The sequence below is a fragment of the Homo sapiens genome, chromosome 1 (assembly GCF_000001405.40).
Source record: "Homo sapiens chromosome 1, GRCh38.p14 Primary Assembly".
Lineage (NCBI taxonomy): Eukaryota > Metazoa > Chordata > Mammalia > Primates > Hominidae > Homo > Homo sapiens.
In genome coordinates this window covers 200,627,774-200,647,443 of record NC_000001.11, presented here as the reverse complement: position 1 = coordinate 200,647,443, position 19,670 = coordinate 200,627,774, and the positions used below count along the sequence as shown (strand labels likewise).

The 19,670-nt window shown below is 41.2% G+C and overlaps 1 protein-coding gene across 18 annotated transcripts in view, besides 2 other annotated features; it reads left to right on the top strand.

The window, feature by feature from the left end:
- DDX59 (DEAD-box helicase 59) overlaps positions 1-6,639 on the top strand; it is a 29,103-nt gene extending 22,464 nt beyond the window's left edge. For 12 of the 18 annotated variants that reach the window (NM_001349804.2, XM_047431468.1, NM_001349803.3 and 9 more), the window contains 1 exon segment: positions 2,927-3,407. In NM_001349804.2, the coding sequence (NP_001336733.1) occupies positions 2,927-3,190 (264 nt within the window). In that variant the 3' untranslated portion in view covers positions 3,191-3,407. 18 annotated transcript variants of the gene reach the window in all.
- Positions 6,764-7,963: an enhancer, noted in NCBI's record as "MED14-independent group 3 enhancer chr1:200608609-200609808 (GRCh37/hg19 assembly coordinates)". NCBI's record gives its function as "activates an origin of replication core promoter dependent on BRD2, BRD4, P300/CBP and CDK7 cofactors, and independent of MED14, by STARR-seq in HCT116 cells {active_cell/tissue: HCT116}" and the evidence as "EXISTENCE:reporter gene assay evidence [ECO:0000049][PMID:35650434]".
- Positions 7,939-8,654: an enhancer, noted in NCBI's record as "H3K27ac-H3K4me1 hESC enhancer chr1:200607918-200608633 (GRCh37/hg19 assembly coordinates)". NCBI's record gives its function as "activates a minimal SCP1, AML or CMV promoter by ChIP-STARR-seq in naive H9 embryonic stem cells {active_cell/tissue: H9 hESC(naive)}" and the evidence as "EXISTENCE:reporter gene assay evidence [ECO:0000049][PMID:30033119]".

Here is a 19,670-nt window from a genome sequence, read left to right as displayed (position 1 = left end):
AAAAAGATCGTTTTAAGTTGATATGTCTGGCCAAAATAAAATTGATCCTTTAAAGTATTTTTTTAAGGAATCTTGTCTTCATCTCCTCTTCATATCCTTATTTGTTCTAGTCTTTCACTTTTGAAAGTTTTCTTTCTTTTCTTTGCTGCCAAAGGTAACAATAGCTTCTCTCTCTAGCAGAAATAGAGCCTTCTCTTAGCGCTGCATTATCTCACTGACTGCTACCTGTCTTCCCTCTCCGGCTTCCCTTACAAACTCTTCAAGTAAAGCCTGTCTGTAGTGTTCTTAACATCACCTCTGAATGCCACATTTACTGGAATCACCCACTGAAACGCCGTTAGTGCCTTCAGTGCAGTTGCTTTTATTTTTACTTAATACAGTACTACTTCTCTTTTTATTTATTTTGGTACCACCACATTTACCTGCACATCAGGGAATTAAGTATTCCACGGGGGTTGATTGTTTTACTTAGCATAATGTTTTTAAGGTTCATCCATATCATAGAACGTATCGGTACTTCATTTTTTTAAATTGCCAAAAAAATTTATCGTGTAGATATACCACCTTTGTTTATTCATTAGTTGCTAGACATTTAGGTTGTTTCTACATTTTGGCTCCTATGAATCAGGCTGCTGTGGACATTCATGTACAAGTTTTTGTGTGGACATGTTTTCATTTCTATTGGACATATGCCTATGAATAGAATTACTGAGTCATATAGTAACTCTGTGTTTAGCATTTTGAGGAACTGCCAGATTGTTTTCCAACATGGCGTCACCATTTTACATTCTCGCCTGCGGCTTATTAAGGTTCCAGTTTCCCCACATCCTCATCAACACTTATCTTTTTTATTATAGCTATGCTAGTGGGTATGAAGTTAAACCTCCTTATATTTTGACTTGCATTTCTTTAATGACTAATGATGTTGAACATTATGTCATGTACTTATTGATCATTTTTGTAACTTCTTTGGAGAAATGTCTATTCAAATTTGTTGTCCATTTTTAAATTGGGTTTTTATTTTTGAGTTGTGAAAGTTCTTTGTATACTCTAGAAGACTTGCCAAAAACATGATTTGCAAGTTTTTTTTTTGTTTGTTTGTTTTTTTAAGAGACGGGGTCTCCTTCTGTTGCCCGGGCTGGAGTACAGTGGCACAGTCATAGCTCACTGTAACCTTGAATGCATGGACTCAGGCGATTCTTCCATCTCAGCCTCCTGAGTAGCTGGGACTACAAGTACATGCCACCACACCTGGCTAATTTTTCTGTTTTTTGTAGAGATGGGGTATTGCTATGTTGCCCTGGCTGGTCTTGAACCCTGGCCTCAAGTGATCCTCCTGCCTCAGCCTCTCAAAATGCTGGGATTATAGGCATGAGCCGCCATGTCCAGCCTGAAGCTACTTTGTATAATCTTTTCTTTGTCTTTTTGAATTTTTTTATTTCTACTTGTTTTTCTGTGGACTTTTATAGAGAAATAACTACTTTTTTATTTTTATTTTTATTGGAACAATTCAGTAATTTAATTAAGTCAGGTATAAATAAAAGCTGTTACTGAAAAACAATATTTGCTTGCCTCTCTTCTCCTCTGTCTCATTCCCTAGAGGCTTCCCTTCTTAACTTTTTTAGAAGTTTCTTTTACAGTGTTAAAAATGCCCTCTGTATTAGCAGAAACTGTCTACTCATTTAAATATTTCTGAATATAGACTTTAAGTTTTACATTTCAGTTAAGGAGCAGAAATTGACCATGATTGTGTATTTTCCCCCTCTTTTGAAGAGTTTCTTAGTATATTTTCATTATCTATTTGGAGACAAGTAGGTTTTGTGCCTTATTGATACTCCATAAATTTGTGTCCATTTAATTCTCTCAACATGAGAAATAACTAGCCGGGCCTGTAATCCTAGCACTTTGGGAGGCTGAGGCAGGTAGATCACAAGGTCAGGAGTTTAAGACCAGCCTGGTCAAGATGGTGAAACCCCATCTCTACTAAAAATACAAAAAATTATCCAGATATGGTGGCGGGTGCCTGTAATCCCAGCTACTTGGGAAGCTGAGGCAGAGAATTGCTTGAACCCAGGAGGCGGAGGTTGCAGTGAGCCGACATTGCACCATTGCGCTCCAGCCTGGGCAACAGAGTGAGACTCCGCCTCAAAAAAAAAAGACAAATAACTTTATGCAAAGATGATTTAGTATAAATCTCACATTTCAAGGCCTCTTAAGTAGCCTTGGAAGTAAATAGTCCTCTTGCTCTTAATGCAGGGGCTTTCAGAATTTTTTGACCTTAACCCACCCACAATAAGAAACATCTTTATGTCATTACCCCCAACACCACCCATACAGGTATAACTAAAACACAAGTTTCACAAATGATACTTACTTTTATTTTATGTGATCACTCTCTTATTTTCTGTTTGGTCTGTTCCATTAAAAATATGCTGGTGGAGGCCTACTAAATTGATTTCACAGATATATTGAGATGCATAATTCAAAAAATGCTGTCTGGATGAAGGTTAATCTTAGTAAAGCTCCTTTTTTTTTTTTTTTTTTTTTTGAGATGGAGTCTTTTTCTGCCACCCAGGCTGGAGTGCAGTGGCACGATCTCAGCTCATTGCAAGCTCCGCCTCCTGGGTTCAAGCGATTCTTTTGCCTCAGCCTCCCAAGTAGCTAGAATTTACAGGTGTTTGCCACCATGCCTGGCTAATTTTTGTGTTTTTAGTAGAGACAGGATTTTGCCACGTTGGCCAGGCTGGTCTCAAACTCCTGACCTCAGGTGATCCACCTGCCTCAGCTCCCAAAGTGCTGGGGTTACAGGCGTGAGCCACTGCACCCAGCCAGTAATGCTACTTTAAGTAATATTATTCATTTTCTTTCAAAAGACACTAAGATTTTACATGGACATCTTGAAAATGTTCTTTGCATTTTATTTCAGATTGGAAGAGTAGGAAGATTAGGTCAAAATGGAACAGCGATTACTTTCATCAATAATAATTCAAAAAGACTCTTCTGGGATATTGCAAAACGAGTAAAGCCCACAGGATCCATTCTTCCCCCTCAGTTATTAAATTCCCCATACCTTCATGACCAGAAGAGAAAGGAACAACAGAAAGATAAACAGACACAGAATGATCTGGTTACAGGAGCTAATCTTATGGATATTATCAGAAAACATGATAAAAGTAATTCTCAGAAATGATTTTCTCTGCCACTTGAATATTTTTTTTTATTGTATATAGTCAGCAAAAAATTATGGTTTGCATAAATGGAAATGTACATGAATTTTAAAAATTTTAAGATATTTTTAATTTAATAAAATTTATATAACTATATTGTATTTATTTCCCTTAATTCTTATAAATTAAAAACATCAGAAAATGAATTATTAAATAAAAGACAGTGTTTTCTTTTCTGGATGAAGTTTCTTTTTTCTTTTTAAAATAAACAGTCCTCAGAGCTACTGTCAGAACCAGAAACCTCCACAAAGACTCTGACTCGGATCAGTGATTGTTTTACTTGGTTCCCCCACAGTTCCACAAGCACATTGGCACTTAAATTACTGTTGAATAAATGAGAATTAGGAAAAATGTAAATGATAGAAACTGGAAGAAATTTTCAGAACCACTTTTGAAAGATAAATATGAAATGTCTACTTTCATTCTCAGTTGTTTTACCTTCTGCTTGGTTAATGCTGTTTTAAAAATAAGATAGGCTACTTATCAAAATAATGTCATTGTGTTATTGAATGAATGTTGCCCTGCTAATTCAATTAATAGGTTTTTTGTTTGTTTTTGTTTTTGTTTTTGTTTTGAGACAGAGTCTCGCTCTGTCGCCCAGGCTGGAGTGCAGTGGCACGATCTCGGCTCACTGCAAGCTCTGCCTCCTGGGTTCATGCCATTCCCTTTCCTCAGCCTCCCAAGTAGCTGGAACTACAGGCGCCTGCCACCACGCCCGGCTAATTTTTTGTATTTTTAGTAGAGATGGGGTTTCACTGTGTTAGCCAGGATGGTCTCAATCTCCTGACTTTGTGATCCGCCTGCCTCGGCCTCCTAAAGTGCTGGGATTACAGGCATGAGCCACCACGCCTGGCCTACTTGTTTATAAATAAAAGTGGCATGGCCAGAAAAACAGCATTTACAGGATATGTAGTTTTGTTTTGTTTTTTTGAGATAGCATCTCACCCTGTCACCCTATACTGGAGTGCAGTGGCATGATCATGGCTCACTACAGCCTTAACCTCCCAGGCTCCAACAATCCTCCCACCTCAGCCTCCCAAGTAGCTGGGACCACAGGCGTTGTCTCACTATGTTGCTCAGGCTGGTCTCAAACTCCTGGCCTCAAATGATCCTCCTGCCTCTGCCTGCCAAAGTTCTGGAAAGGAAACTATTATTTTAACAAAAATAATATTATTTGAGAGACTGTAGTAATGCAAAAAAATATTAGCTATAGTATAACCCCACTGGTTTACTTAATTTGCTGGCAGTCTGGCTTCTTCCCACCACTGTACATACATGATCTTCCCGTGGTCTCTGTTGACCTTCTTAAACCACATGTTCTGCCAGCTCTCACTTTAAACTTTTTTATTGCGTCGGTCATTGTGGGCCACCCTTCTTGAAACCCACACTTTCTTAAGGCCAGGTGATGAGTTAGAGGTGGAGGAAAGAGCCCCTAACTCACAGGCTTATTATGAGAGTTAAGCGCAGTTGCATATGTCAAATACCCAATAGGGGAGAAGCCGGCTATCAGCGCCCTTCCCTTTACTTCCCTCTCGCCACACAATTTTCAGACTCCTGTTACTGGTTCTTCCTGCCTCTCTGAATCTTGACTTCTGCTTCTCATTCCTTAAGATCTTTCCTTTGGCAACTTCCTTGTCTCACATGTCTGCTCTTCTGTTGTCTGGGGTGCAGCAATGCAGTGGTTTCCTCAATTATGTATTTTAGAGACCAGAACATTAGACTTTTAAAAAAATTTGGTCCCAGTGTTGCCAGTATTTTTTTCCCAATTAAAGATCTTCTTTTTAAAAAGCTACCACCTATCATTAGTTCATGAAAGAAAAAACATGTAGTACTAAACAAGAGAGAAGGACTTACTCTCTGAATAAGAGACCATCCTTCCCCAGAAAGGACACTAATGTACTATATTATAAAATTTTAAATAATAGATTTTTGTGAGAATTACCATACAGTTTAAATTTTTAATTAGCTAAAAAAACTAATAATCACATACACTCTCAGACATTTGTTTTACAGTAACTATATTATAAAAATACTGAATTGGTTGCTTTATTGCCAGATTGAAGCAAACATCTTTTATATGGCAAACACCTTAAGGGGTGGCTTTTAGATTCTAGAATATTCAGTGCCACTTTATAAGATACTTTTAATGCCATTCTATTAGTATTTCTAATACCAAGCACATTTTTATTTTATTTATTTTTTTATTATTATTTTGAGATGGAGTCTCACTCTGCTGTCCAGGCTGGAGTGCAGCAGCGTTATCTTGGCTCACTGCAACCTCCACCTCCCAGGTTCAAGTGATTCTCCTGCCTCAGCCTCCTGAGTAGCTGGGACTACAGCTGTACACCACCACGCCCAGCTAATTTTTGTATTTTTAGTAGAGACTGGGTTTCACCATGTTGGCCAGGATGGTCTCCATCTCTTGACCTAGTGATCCACCCACCTCGACCTCCCAAAGTGCTGGGATTACAGGCCTGAGCCACCACACACAGCCTAATTTTTGTATTTTTAGTAGAAATGAGGTTTCACCATGTTGGCCAGGCTGGTCTCAAACTCTGGACCTCAGGTGATCCGCCCACCTTGGCCTCCCATGGTGCTGGGATTACAGGCGTGAGCCACCACACCCAGCCTAATTTTTGTATTTTTAGTAGAGACAAGGTTTCACCATGTTGGTCAGGCTGGTCTCAAACTCCAGGCCTCAGGTGATCTGCCCATCTTGGCCTCCCAAAGTGCTGGGAGCCACCACGCCCAGGCCCAAGCACGTTTTTTAAATCACCTTTTTATTCAACAAGTCAAAGTGGGTTCTTTTTTTTTTTTTTAGTTTTTTTGGTTTCATAACATCTTTACAAAGATCATTGCCACATATTTAAACTGTGACTCACTGATTAATTTAATAAATCTAAGCTGGATCCACGACCTGTCATATTTTCCAGTAAAACTACACTATTTTCTTCTGGCAGCTGAATATTATTTGGGTTGTGCCCTTCTCTGGAATTAATATCAACGCATCTCTTATTGCCTTGTTATACAGTCTACTCACCACAATCAATATGAAGTTTACTCCATAAACAGAGGTATGGTACAAGAGGTAACGTGTCATCCAAGGTGACTTTCCTGGCAGCCACCAGTAAACTGACTCCGGACAGATAGGACTCTTTTGTTGCCGCCAAGGCATACTTACAATGACCTCAGAGGCTCTAGGGCCACAGTGTGAAAACCAACCAATGGATAATTAAGTAAACACAGTTCTCTTGTTCTACTGTTAGTGTGAGAACCTATTTTATATTTTATAATGTGTTGCACGTGTGATGATATAGGACAAAATTACAAATAAAGCATAAGACGAGTGTTTATTTTTGTAATGTTTACAAATAGTAACTTACAAATAAATTTTAGCTTTGAAAAATTTGCACATCAGCTTTACTTTCCTCATTTCATCGCAGAAAGAAGACCCCTTGGCAAAGCTGTTTGCAAATAACTGGATTCCGTTTACAGCTCTACCAGTTTTGTTTTTTTAATAGGGCAAATTAATTACTTCTCTAATCTTTAGCTTTGCTCAACTGTAAAATGAGAAAGTTTGCTTTAAGGTTCTCTGAGGTTTTCCCCAAATCTATATTTTCTGTGCTTCATACTTTTAAATCCCTATCTCCATGTCTAGAATTTGCTTCAGAATAATACAAGGTGAGGACTGTGGATGAAGTTTGGCCAAGAGTTTATCATTATTAAAGTCAGGTGATAGGCCATGAAAGTTCATTACTATTTGATTTACATTTGATGTATTTGAAATATTACATGATAAAAACATATATACACATACAATCTCCAATCCCATCCTTTTGCTTGTGCCCTGGCTCCTTTCTATCTAGCTAGCTAGCTAGCTAGCTATAGTTGAAGATATATATCTTCAACTTTTCACTGAACTTTTTGCCTCAAAATCGGCATTTCCAAAGCCAAATTTATCATCTTCCCTACAGAAAGCCTAGTTCCTCCTTTCTGACTTCCCTATTGCCTATGGTGCTACCACGCCCCCAGTCCTGCTCAGTCAAAGCCCTGCTGTCATCACTGACTCATTTCTCTTCCTAATCTCCATATCTGCTTAGTCACGAAGTCCTATCTGTATTTTTTCAAAATGTCCACATTTTCATGCTGGTACTGAAGCCCAAGACTTCATCACTTCAAAATATTAGCCCTTTCCCCTCAATATTCCTCTAATCCACAGGAATCCACAGGAGGAGAATATTTTCCAAGTAAAATATCACTACAGTAAGTACTCACTTCATGTCGTTGATAAATTCTTGGAAACTGTGACTTTAAGTGAAACGACACATAGCAAAACCAATTCTACCACAGGTTAATTGATATAAACAAGAGTGAAGTTCCCATGGCATATTCCTGGTCACAAAAATATCACCGAACTTTTAAATACAGACCAAAGCACTTCTGATAGTAAACATTGAAAGCTCGATGGCCGGGCGCGGTGGCTCACGCCTGTAATCACAGCACTTTGGGAGGCTGAGGTGGGCAGATCACGAGGTGAAGAGATCGAGACCACCCTGGCTAACACAGTGAAACCCCGTCTCTACTAAAAATACAAAAAATTAACCGGGCGTGGTGGCGGGCGCCTGTAGTCCCAGCTACTCGGGAGGCTGAGGCAGGAGAATGTCGTGAACCCGGGAGGCAGAGGTTGCAGTGAGTCGAGATCACGCCACTGCACTCCAGCCTGGGCGACAGAGCAAGACTACAAGAAAACACACAAACAAAACATTGAAAGTTCTGGCCGGGCGTGGTGGCTCATGCCTGTAATCCCAGCACTTTGGGAGGCCAAGGCGGGCGGATCACCTGAGGTCGAGAGTTTGAGACCAGCCTGACCAACATGGAGAAACCCCATCTGTACTAAAAAATACAAAAATTAGCCAGGCGTGGTGGCACAGGCCTGTAATCCCAGCTACTCAGAGGCTGAGGCGGGAGAATCGCTTGAACCTGGGAAGCGGAGGATGCTGTGAGCCGAAATCGTGCCATTGCACTCCAGCCTGAGCAACGAGAGCGAAACTCTGTCTCAAAAAATAAAACAAAACAAAAAAACATTGAAAGCTCATCCCAGCAGCCCAGGGGGCCAGGTGGGAACCCACCCTGGACAGACTACCATCCCTTTGCAGGGAGCACTCACACCCACAGTCCACTCCCACGCAGGGAGCACTCACCCACACTCCACTCACATGCAGGGAGCATTCACTCACCCGCACTCCACTCCTATGCAGGGAGCACCCACTCACCCACACTCACATTGGGACCATGTAGACATGCCAATGACCTTACGTGCACACCTTTGGGATGTGGGAGGAAACCACAGCACCCAAAGATAACCCATGCCGACATAGGGAGAACATACGAACTCCACACAGACAGTGGCCCCAGCCGGGAATCCATGTTTTTCTCATCAACATTATAACGCGGCCAGGCATGGTGGCACAAGCCTATAATCCCAGCACTTTGGGAGGCCGAGGTGGACAGATCGCTTGAGCCCAGGAGTTTGAGAACAGCCTGGGCAACATAGTGAGACCCTCTTCTCTACAAAAAAAAAAAAATGCAAAAATTAGCCAGCCCTGGTGGCATGTGCCTATGGTCCTAGCTACTCGCCTGAGCCTGGGGAGGCCGAGGTTTCAGTGAGCTGTGATCATGCTGCTTCTCTCCAGCCTGGGTAACAGTGAGAATCTGTTTAAAAAACAAAACATTATAACGAAATGGCATTGAGCAAAATGATGTTATTCGAGGACCTGCTGTCCTTCTCTGATGTTTCCTTACTCAGAAACCTTCAACTGCTCCCGGCTAACAGCCTCATCAAATCTGAGTTCTTCTGGCTGGTGTTCGAATCCCTCCTTCTCAGTGCATTTTACAACTCTTCCCTGTGCTCCCCAGGTGGCAGCATCTGCCATGGCTTTCTCCGCCCAATACCATCACTGAAGGATTGGATAGTTCACCAGAACTTCCGTGAACACATTCACAGTACAGATAATTAACTACTGGCGATCAGGGACTGATATGTCTCTGACAAGTTCTCAAAAATCCAACATATCTAAAGGAAAGCAAAGAGTCTGCTAAGAGAAGGGCGATTTTAACTAGGGAGGGACTGTTTTTAACTTTTTTTTTTCTATTTGGAATCCTGTGATATTTACATTGGAATTACAGAGAATTTTAAGGGCTGGGAGTCAGGAGATAATAGTAAAATGAATCCTGAAGCCAGGGCAGCATTTTAGAACTGACAAAGCTGCTATGGCATAAGAGTTAGGCAACCGAGTGCATTCAATTAAATGTAGTGCTTCACAGAAAGGACATTAGGGCATTTATAAACAAGTGTCATGATTTTTGTTTTTGTTTTTGTTTTTTTTTTGAGACTGAGTCTCTCTCTGTCTCCCAGGCTGGAGTGCAATGGCATGATCTTCACTCACTGCAACCTCTGCCTCCCGGGTTGAAGCGATTCTCCTGCCTCAGCCTACCAAGTAGCTGGAATTACAGGTGGGTGCCACCACACTCAGCTAATTTTTGTATTTTTAGTAGAGATGGGGTTTCACCATGTTGGCCAGGCTGGTCTCGGACTCTTGACCTTAGTGAGCCACCAGCCTCGGCCTCCCAAAGTGCTGGGATTATAGGCGTAAGCCACCACTCCCAGCCAAAGTGTCATGATTTTTATGACATTTTACACAATTAAGTAGTTTATGACTTTCATGAATGCAAAAATATAAATACAGAAAATTCCTAATTGAAATAGCATTTTATATAAATGTGCGTGTATGCGTCTACATACACACTAACACACAGAAATTATCTTTGGAAGGATAGTAAAAAGGCAAATGTGGTAGCCTATGGAGAGGAGACAGCTGGGAGATGTTCACTATATGTCCTTTTAAAATAATGAGCAGATTTCATATTCATTTACTTATGGATAAATAAATATTCAATTTCCTTTAAATTCTTTTGGATTTGAGGGTGAAGAAAAAGTGTGGAAGTTTGTGTGTGTGTTTTAGTATAAGTAGTTATACTTTAATTTTATTTATGGAGAAAGATAGCATTGTGTTAAGAAATTAGTTTGTAGCCTGAGCAACATAGCGAGACCCTGTCTTTACAAAAAATTAAAAAATCAGCTGGGTGTGGTGGAATGTACCTATAGTCCTAGCCACTCAGCAGGTTGAGGTTGGGAGGATCGCTTGAGCCCAGGAGGTCAAGGCTGCAGTGAGCTGTTTGAACAATTGCACCCCAGCCTGGGTGATAGAGCAGGACCCTATCACAAAAAAAGGAAAAAGAGAGAGAAAGAGAGAAAGGAAGGAAGGAAGGAAGAAAGGAAGGAAGGGAGGAAGGGAGGGAAGGAAGGAAAGAAAGAAAGGGAGAGATAGAGGGAGAGAGAGAGAAAAGAAAGAAAGAAAGAGAAAGAAAAAGAAAAATTAGTTTGTATACTTGAACTTTCATTAATAGATATTAAATAGTACATGTAAAATTATAAATCATTCAAACCTCTAGAAAATTAAATAATTGGCTGGGCGCGGTGGCTCATGCCTGTAATCCCAGCACTTTGGGAGGCCGAGGCAGGTGGATCACCTGATGTCAGGAGTTCGAGACCAGCCTGGCCAACATGGTGAAACCCTGTCTCTACTAAAAATACAAAAATCAGCTGGGCCTGGTGGCGCCTGCCTGTAATCCCAGCTACTCAGGAGGCTGCGGCAGGAGAATTGCTTGAACTCAGGAGGCAGAGCCAAGATCTCACCACTGCACTCCAGCCTGGGCAACCAAGCAAGACTCTGGCTCAAAAAAAAAAAAAAAAAGAAAAGAAAAAGAAAATTAAAATGATTTACCTTAATGTTGTTGGAGAGGTATTGGGTGATGATGCATTTCTGACTTTTTTTTAAAAATGAGAGATCATTGTAAATGATTCAAGGATTCATATGAGGTTTAAAGAAAGACCCAGACTAAAGGTGTCCTGGGCACATCAATCCAGGAACTGAGGAATCAGTAGTGGCTCCAAGGTGAAGAAGGTCTGATAGCTCAGATTTCTCCTGCCATCCTCTCCTAGCATTCAGTGTGTACTGAAGATAATAGGTTCTGACTGAGCTGTATGCTTCCTTTTAAGAAAATCTGTAAAGTAGGATTCTCTGGATTTCAATTTCCTGTATGTGTAATTGAAGCTTCCATAGCTTTTCTTGATTAATCTTTGAGTATGGTTTTAATCTTGGATACATAGTACTTTCAAATAACTAATTAAGTTGTTGATCTCCATTTTGTTTTGCAAAAACATTGGTTTTTCCTGTTTAAGTTAGTAACCAAAAGCCTAGATAGCCTTTGTGAGACCAGTGAACTCAATAGATTTGTTTTTTTAAAAAAAAGAAAATACAGATGGCCGGGTGCAGTGGCTCATGCCTGTAATCCTAGCACTTTGGGAGGCCAAGGCAGGTGGATCACGAGGTCACAGTTGGAGACCAGCCTGGCCAACATGGTGAAACCCTGTCTCTACTAAAAATACAAAAATTAGCTGGGCATGGTGGCGGGCGCCTGTAATCCCAGCTACTCGGGAGGCTGAGGCAGGAGAATCATTTGAACCTGGGAGGTGGAGGTTGCAGTGAGCTGAGATCGAGCCACTGCACTCCAGCCTGGGTGACAGGGCGAGACTCCGCCTCAAAAAAAAAACCAAAAAAAAATACAGACATCAGCCGGGCATGGTGGCTCACACCTGTAATCCCAGCATTTTGGAAGGCCAAAGCAGTGGGCAGATTGCTTGAGCTCAGGAGTTCAAGACCAGCCTGAGCAACATGGTGAAACCCCATCTCTACAAAAAATACAAAAATTAGCCAGGCATGGTGGCACACACCTGTAGTCCCAGCTACTCAGGAAGCTGAGGTGAGAGGATCACCTGAGCCTGGGAAGTTGAGGCTGCAGTGAGCTGAGATCATGCCACTGCACTCCAGCCTGGGTGACAGAGTGAGACTTGGTCTTAAATAAATAAATAAATAAAGGAGATACCTGCATCAGTTAGATGTATACCTATAATGACCACTTATTCCAATACCAAAATATGGACATAATCTTACAGAAGATTTGTTTTTCCTGATAGATAAGTGCATTTATATGATTAGTCTTTCACAGGTTTAAAATCAATCATATCAGTTATATATGTAGTAGATTGCCAAAAATCCAGGCCATATTATTGCTGCATAGGACTTGTGTAGATAGGCTATGATGGTGACATCTTCTGATATTCAGACCTTATGATCCTTAGTGACCATGATTAACATATGCAAAGGTCTTTTACAAAAAGTCAAATTTCTTTATAGATCTGAAAGTTTCAGACAGCTTTTGAAAGCAGAGTCCATGTCTCTGCAGCTTGCTTGAGCTTTCATTCTCATCTTTTCTAATCTCAAGAAAATGCTAGTCACCAGAGTATTCTGATTAACTGCATTTAATTTTTTAGTCTCTACAAAAGCTAACCAGGAGAAGGTAGAAGAGGTAGGGCTAGAGTTAGAGATAAAGGTTGGACACATGAGAGCAAGTTCACAGAGCTGCTGGGCAGTATGTGAACAGTGCCCCCTGGAGTTGTGCAATGAGGTGTCTGCAAGTTTTGGGGTGTTTGTGAGAATGCAAAGAGGTGAATGTTGTGATCGTAGTTAACCCCCCACAGCATTTGGCATCTTTGGCAGCAATGCAATGACTAGAAGCTAGGACAGCTAGGATTTGGTGCTTGGCTTCCTCCTGGCCTCTCTGAGCTCCTTGGTTACAGCCCTGTATCCCCTCACCATTTATATTCATAGTGCATCCTGGCCTGCTGAACATAGCACAGAACACTGGTGAGTCCCTGTAGTTGGTGGTGAGTGTGGGTGTGCATGGAAGGGCAGACATTTGGCAATAAGTAAGGGAAAAAGTGATGATATTTATCACGATTTCATGAGCATCAAGACTTCATTTTTGTGCTCATTAGGTCTTTATTTCACAAAAGGAAGCAAAATCTCATAAATAAATATAAAAATTTTTATTTGGTTGAAAGAGCAACAAAGTAGCCAGTTACCATAAAGTTTTATGCTTTGTTGGAGGAGCACTATTTTATTATTTCATTTAAAATAAGTATGCTAAATAGTAAAATGGTAATTATGAAAATGAAACTGTGAATTTCATAAAACTGTTAATAATAGCAAATAATCATCAGTTAAGTATTTAGGGGACCAGTTCCTATGCTTTTAACAATATGAAATGAAAATAACAATATAATTATTTTTAAAATAATGTAGTCAATGAAAGTAGAAGGTGAGTAAAGAAACAATCAAAGATCAAAGAAGGTAAGACCATAAAGCAATGAACCAAACTAAATGAGGATGACTGATACTCTTTTTGATTAGTTTTTTTACTAACACTAATAGTTAGGGAAAAACAAAAATATATGGTTAGATGGAGCTGCAATGGACTGATGAAGGTTGAAGTAATTGCACTCTCTTAAATAGTCTCTGGTTATTATCCACAATTTAAAGCTACTGGAGAAGCTAATGATTAAATTACTTCTAAGACAATAGACTTAGAATTCCTTTCTTACTAGTTAATAGACACAGTTTCTCTGACAAATGAAAAGGAGCTATTGTAGATCAGAAATCATTTAGTGATTCTTTAAGGAGCAAGATAATAGCTCAAACTTTTAAACTGTTTAACAAAGGTAATGAATAACACTGCTGTAACATTTCCTGGGTATCAGACAGTGTTCTAACTCCTTTTTTTTAAATTTTTTAATTTTTGAGATGGAGGCTTTCTCTGTCACCCAGGCTGGAGTGCAGTGGCACAATCTCCATTCACTGCAACCTCTGCCTCCCAGATTCAGGCGATTCTCCTGCCTCAGCCTCCCAAGTAGCTGGGACTACAGGCGCATGCCACCATGCCCAGCTATCTTTTGTATTTTCAGTAGAGACGGGGTTTTGCCATGTTGGCCAGGCTGGTCTCAAACTCCTGACCTCATGTGATCCACCTGCCTCAGCCTCCCAAATTGCTGGGATTACAGGTGTGAGCCACTGCGCCTGGCCTGTTCTGACTACTATTGATGAGTAATTTGTTTAATTCTGACAAAAGCTCTATGAAGTAGGTACAATTTTAAATCATCATTTTACAGATTTCAGAGGGGTTACCTAAGGTGCCCAAGGTAAGTGGCAGAGCCAGGATTCAGACTTAGGCAGTCTGGCCTTTGCACCTGTATACAGAACCACTTCCCTGTGCTGAGTTTTGGTAGAGATAGGACAACATATACATTCCTTCCTCTGTATTTTGGGTATTCCCATTTCTTCTGAAAGCAGGCACTGTATCCTCTGTCCAAAAACAAAACATCTGGGGCCAGACAGATCACCTGGCCACTTTTCCCTAGAGAGGGAAAGTATGAATGTGCATGAGCCATTGGCAGCCCACAGACCCATTGGCGGGCTAGGACCAGAGCCCAAGCCTTTGGACATCTTCCATGACATTATTCTGCCTACTTTGTTAGTCCTCAGAATCCCTAGAACATATCTGTGCTAGGCTCTCAGTAACTGCTTAGAGAACTATTTATATAGTATATAACACAATAAAAATAAAACCTATTTAGAACATTTATATATTATTAAAATTTATATAAAGTAACATAATAAAACACTATAAATAACATAGTGTTTCATTTTTAAATTTTTAGATTTATAGTCATTAAAAAGAAAGCGAAATTCTGTAATACTTGGCAATATATAAAAAGCATCCTTAAAACTGAATTCAAAATTTTTTTTTTTTTTTAGATGGAGTTTTCACTCTTATTCCCCAGGCTGGAGTGCAGTGGCATGATCTCAGCTCACTGCAACCTCTGCCTGCCAGGTTCAAGCGATTCTCCTGCCTCAGCCTCCCGAGTAGCTGGGATTACAGGCACACGCCACACCACCACACCTGGCTAATTTTTTGTTTTTAGTAGAGACAGAGTTTTGCCATGTTGGCCAGTCTGGTCTCGAACTCCTCACCTCAAGTGATCCACCTGCCTAGGCCTCCTAAAGTCCTGGGATTACAGGCGTGAGCCACCGCGCCTGGCCAAAAATTGAATACTGGATTGATTGATTTTTTTCCCCTAAAATATTAGGAAGATAATAGTTATGGACACTTGATCTAGGTTTTCTCATTCTCTTTGTTGATATATAATTCAGAAATTTATAAATATTAAACTCTCGGTTGTGACAAATTAGATTACTACTCAGCAAATAGCCATTTCCTTTTTCCTGCACCTTCTTGCTCCACTGACTTTGGGCTTGGCCAATGGAATGAAAGCAAATGTGTTAAGAGCAGAGGTTTTAAATGATCTTGCTCCATGTAGCCACTGCCCCTTCAATCTGATCCCAGAAAGACACATGAAGTCGACCTGAACCTCACAAGCAGCCTGAAATAGAGCCACCCCAGCCAACTATCGGACCTATGACCAAGGAAGTGAATGCTTATTGGAAGCCATTGAAATTTTGGAGGTGTTTGTTATGCAGCATTATTGCAGCAGAAACTGGACTACCATGGAAATCTTTATAGTGGTAGAAAAAGGAAGTCACGTTTACTAACAACTTACATGTGCCAACTGGTTTATATTCATTAACCCACATAATCCTTACAACAACATCATGTAGTAGGAACTATTACTATCCCATTTTACAGATGAGAAGACTGAGGCACAGAGGGGTTAAGTAACTTGCCCAAGATTGCATTCCAGGCATAGTAAAACATGGATTTAAGTCCAAGTCTATATAATTATAAAACTTGTGCCTTTTTCCCACTACTACCTCATATAAGTTTGCATGATTCTTTGTTTTATTATATTATTATTATTTTTTGAGACAGAGTTTCACTCTGTTGCCCAGGCTGGAGTGCAGTAGTCTGATTATGGCTCACTGCAGCCTCCACCTCCCAGGCTCAAGCGATCCTCCCACCTCAGCCACCTGAGTAGCTTGAACTACAGGTGCATAGTACCACACCTGGCTAAGTTTTTTATTTTTATTTTTTGTAAAAACAGGGTCTGACTATGTTGCCCAGGCTGGTCTCAAACTCCTTGCCTCAAGCGATCCCCCACTTTTAGCTTTAGTGCTGGGATTACAGGCATGAGCCACCATGCCTGGCCCTACATGATTCTTTGAATCCCAGGTATAAAACAAGAATTTTTGAAATAAAAATTATGGCCGGGAGCCATGGCTCATGCCTGTAATCCCAGCACTTTGGGAGGCCGAAGCGGGCAGATCACGAGGTCAGGAGTTCGAGATCAGCCTGGCCAACACAGTGAAACCCTGTCTCTACTGAAAATACAAAAATTAGCCTGGTATGGTGGTGCGCATCCGTAATCACAGCTACTCAGTCAGGAGGCTGAGGCAGGAGAATCTCTTGAACCTGGGAGGCGGAGGTTGCAGTGAGCTGAGATTGCGCCACTGCACTCCAGCCTGGCGATAAAGCGAGACTCCGTCTCAAAAAATAAATAAATAAATAAATAAAAATAAAATAAAATAAAATAAAACTTATTTAAAATAATACACAAATCAGTATTATTATTCCAACAATAATAAAATATTTAAAAGGAAAATAACACCAAAGAGAAGATGAAACATTTGATTCTACATGTTCAATGTTAAACATTATAAGAATAGAGACTCGTTGCAATTGGAACAAGCTATTAGAATTCAGACACCAGTAGCTATATCTGAGGAGTTAAAATGTTTCTTCGTGGGCATTATTAAAAACCAAATAAACCTGGAAGGGCTGTTTTCAAGTTTCTAGCAACAAGAAACAGAGGGTTTATTCTATTCTGTAATTCTTGTGACAAACTGTACCTACTTGTCTTGAGAGTTACTCATGCTTTTGTTCATCCAGACAGGCCTCGGGTCAGAACCGGCTCAGCAAATGACCCAGATGCTGTGGTAGACAAAGTCTGTGACATATGGTTTCTGCCCTCAAAAGACTTAAAGTTTCACTGGGAAGCCCAGAAGTAGGTTGAAGCATATTGGGTTGCTCTTCAAGCTGCTCCCGTTTATTTTTGGTGGAGGGTGATAGTGGAAGGCAAAGTGCGCAAGCTACGGGAGATGCTGACCCCAAGGGGCCCTTTCTTCAGTTTTCCCTCAGCTGCCACTGCAGATCTTTTTCACTCTTTTCAGAGGCAGTGAGAGAACAGGTCTGTTTGCATTCCTTGCTGTCCAGTCCTACGGGGCGGGTAAAAAAAGAGAAAGATGGGGCAGCAGGGACCCTGGCTTTCCAAGGACTGTGACCATTTTGCCTCATAGCTCTTCACACCTTGGCAGTGGATGGAGAGCCAAAATAACCTTGGCACCTTCCCCTCCTTGTTCCGTGCCCATCTCCCTTCGTGCAGTGCCATCCTCTCCTCCACCTGGAGGCTGGCGCTCTCCTGCTGTGGTCTGACTGCCCAAACCCAGGCCCCTCCTCCAGGCCTGCTTTCCTCATCAGCCCCAGTGCCCCATACCATGTCCTCCGATTCCTCATGACTAAAGTTTGCTCTCACTCCCATCAGAATGTCTCTGATGAGTTCATTCATACTGCGACTTTGGCAAAATGGCTTCCTTTATTTTTTTTCTTGTTTTTGTTTTTTTTCTTGAAGGAACAATTAAATGTCCTATTTGGATAAATCATAAATGGTGGGATTTCAGGAACCAAGAAATATGAAATGATAATGGCTAAATGTATAATACTATGTGTCAGGCAAATGTACTATCTCATTGAATCCTCATAACAATGCAGTGAGATAGGCACTATTATTAGGTCAGTTTTACAGATGAGGAAACTGAGGCACAGAGAAGTTAATTCAGTTGCCAAAAGCCATGCAGCTAATAAGCGGTGAAGCTGGAATTCAAGCCCAGGCAATGTGCCCTGGAGCCTCACCCTTAACATCTACGTGAAAGAGGCAAGAGATATTTCTGGTGTGAGTGTTTTCATGGCAGCCCACAGACCATATCTCTTGGGTGACACTGTGCCATCCAAAGCCTGACCAAAGTCCTGAGATCAAATCCTAAGTGATGAACATTGCCTAACGCTGTCTACTTGAGGAGAATGAGTACAGACAATGATGAAAGCCAAGGAACCCTGGTTCTAGAATGTACCTGACATTATTTTGTTCAACCCCATCAGTTCCCACATGAAGAAATAGAATCAAAGAAGTTTAACTGATTTGACTGGGTCTCCTGACACTTGTTCTGTGACCTGAAAGTGCCAGCCAGTCACCTTCCTCTTCCCCACCCCCACCATAAAATCACTATGCCAAATTATATTGATCCTCAACCTCAAAATGTCTGTCACAGCAATTGCCTTGTTTCTGCCCTGATGCCAGTCAGGTTGCTCATTACCTCACACTTGTCCCAGTACCTTCTCTGACCTCCCTGCCTGTGTCTCTTTCCCCACCCCTCTCTATTTCTCATAACCATGCACAACTGTCTGCTGATGTTCCTCAAAGCCTAGCTTTTACCTTGAATGCAAACCTAGGGTACAAAGGCCTGGATTCAAATCCTGATTTACCATTCTGTCACTGAAGAGACTCAGCCATTGTGGTTAAACACAAAAACAGGTGAGGTGAGACCACAGATGTTTAAAAGCTCAGCTCGCATCACTGAACGGGACAGAGGCATCAACCTACAGCATTGGGCCAAAGTAGCAACCTCAATAAGTCAAAATCAGTACTGAGAGACATGTGAGTTATGAAACCCAGCAGTCTTATCTTTGTTGTGAGCACAGTCGGGAGTGGGGAGAAAGACGGCCACATGGAGGGGGTGGGCGGGATGGTGGGGAGAAAGGGAATCCCCACATCCGCTGCCTATTGCACTTCTCAATGAAAACGTCACCCCTCCCTAGAAGTAGAAGCAGAAATGAAACTTTAGCCAGAGCTAAGGGTTATAGCAGGGCAGGAAGACCTGAATTAGGAGAAAACTCTGTCTATGAATATGACATAGACAGAATATGAAAGAGTCCCCTCTTTACAACTCCAAGGCACTGAGTAGAGACAGCGAGGGAGCTTAGCTCAGAGGAGCCAGGATCAGGCAGCCTGCATTCAGGTGCACACCTACCACCCCAGAAAAGCAGGACCTCTGTCCTCAGTGTGCCATTCTAATTACTCCACACTATGTACCTTTAAAACAAAGGGAGCATGGAGTTTACTGTGTCCTGAGGTAGGAAGCTAAGTTTACAGATGAATCTGTGATGAAGGAGTATCAGTTGCTACATTCTAGGAATGGACCAGATTACTAAAGATTTAAACAGTTTAGGGAAATGGGCAGAAATGAGGCTAATGAAATTCACTCTCACAAAGCTGGAAGGTCATGCATCAAAGTAGTATCCATGAGACATTTAAATGGAGCCCTAATAGGTAGAATTGCAGAAAATAATGAGGAAAGAGCCCTAGGGCTAGATAATAATATCATCAACAGTCTAGTTGCAAACAGGGGATTTCCT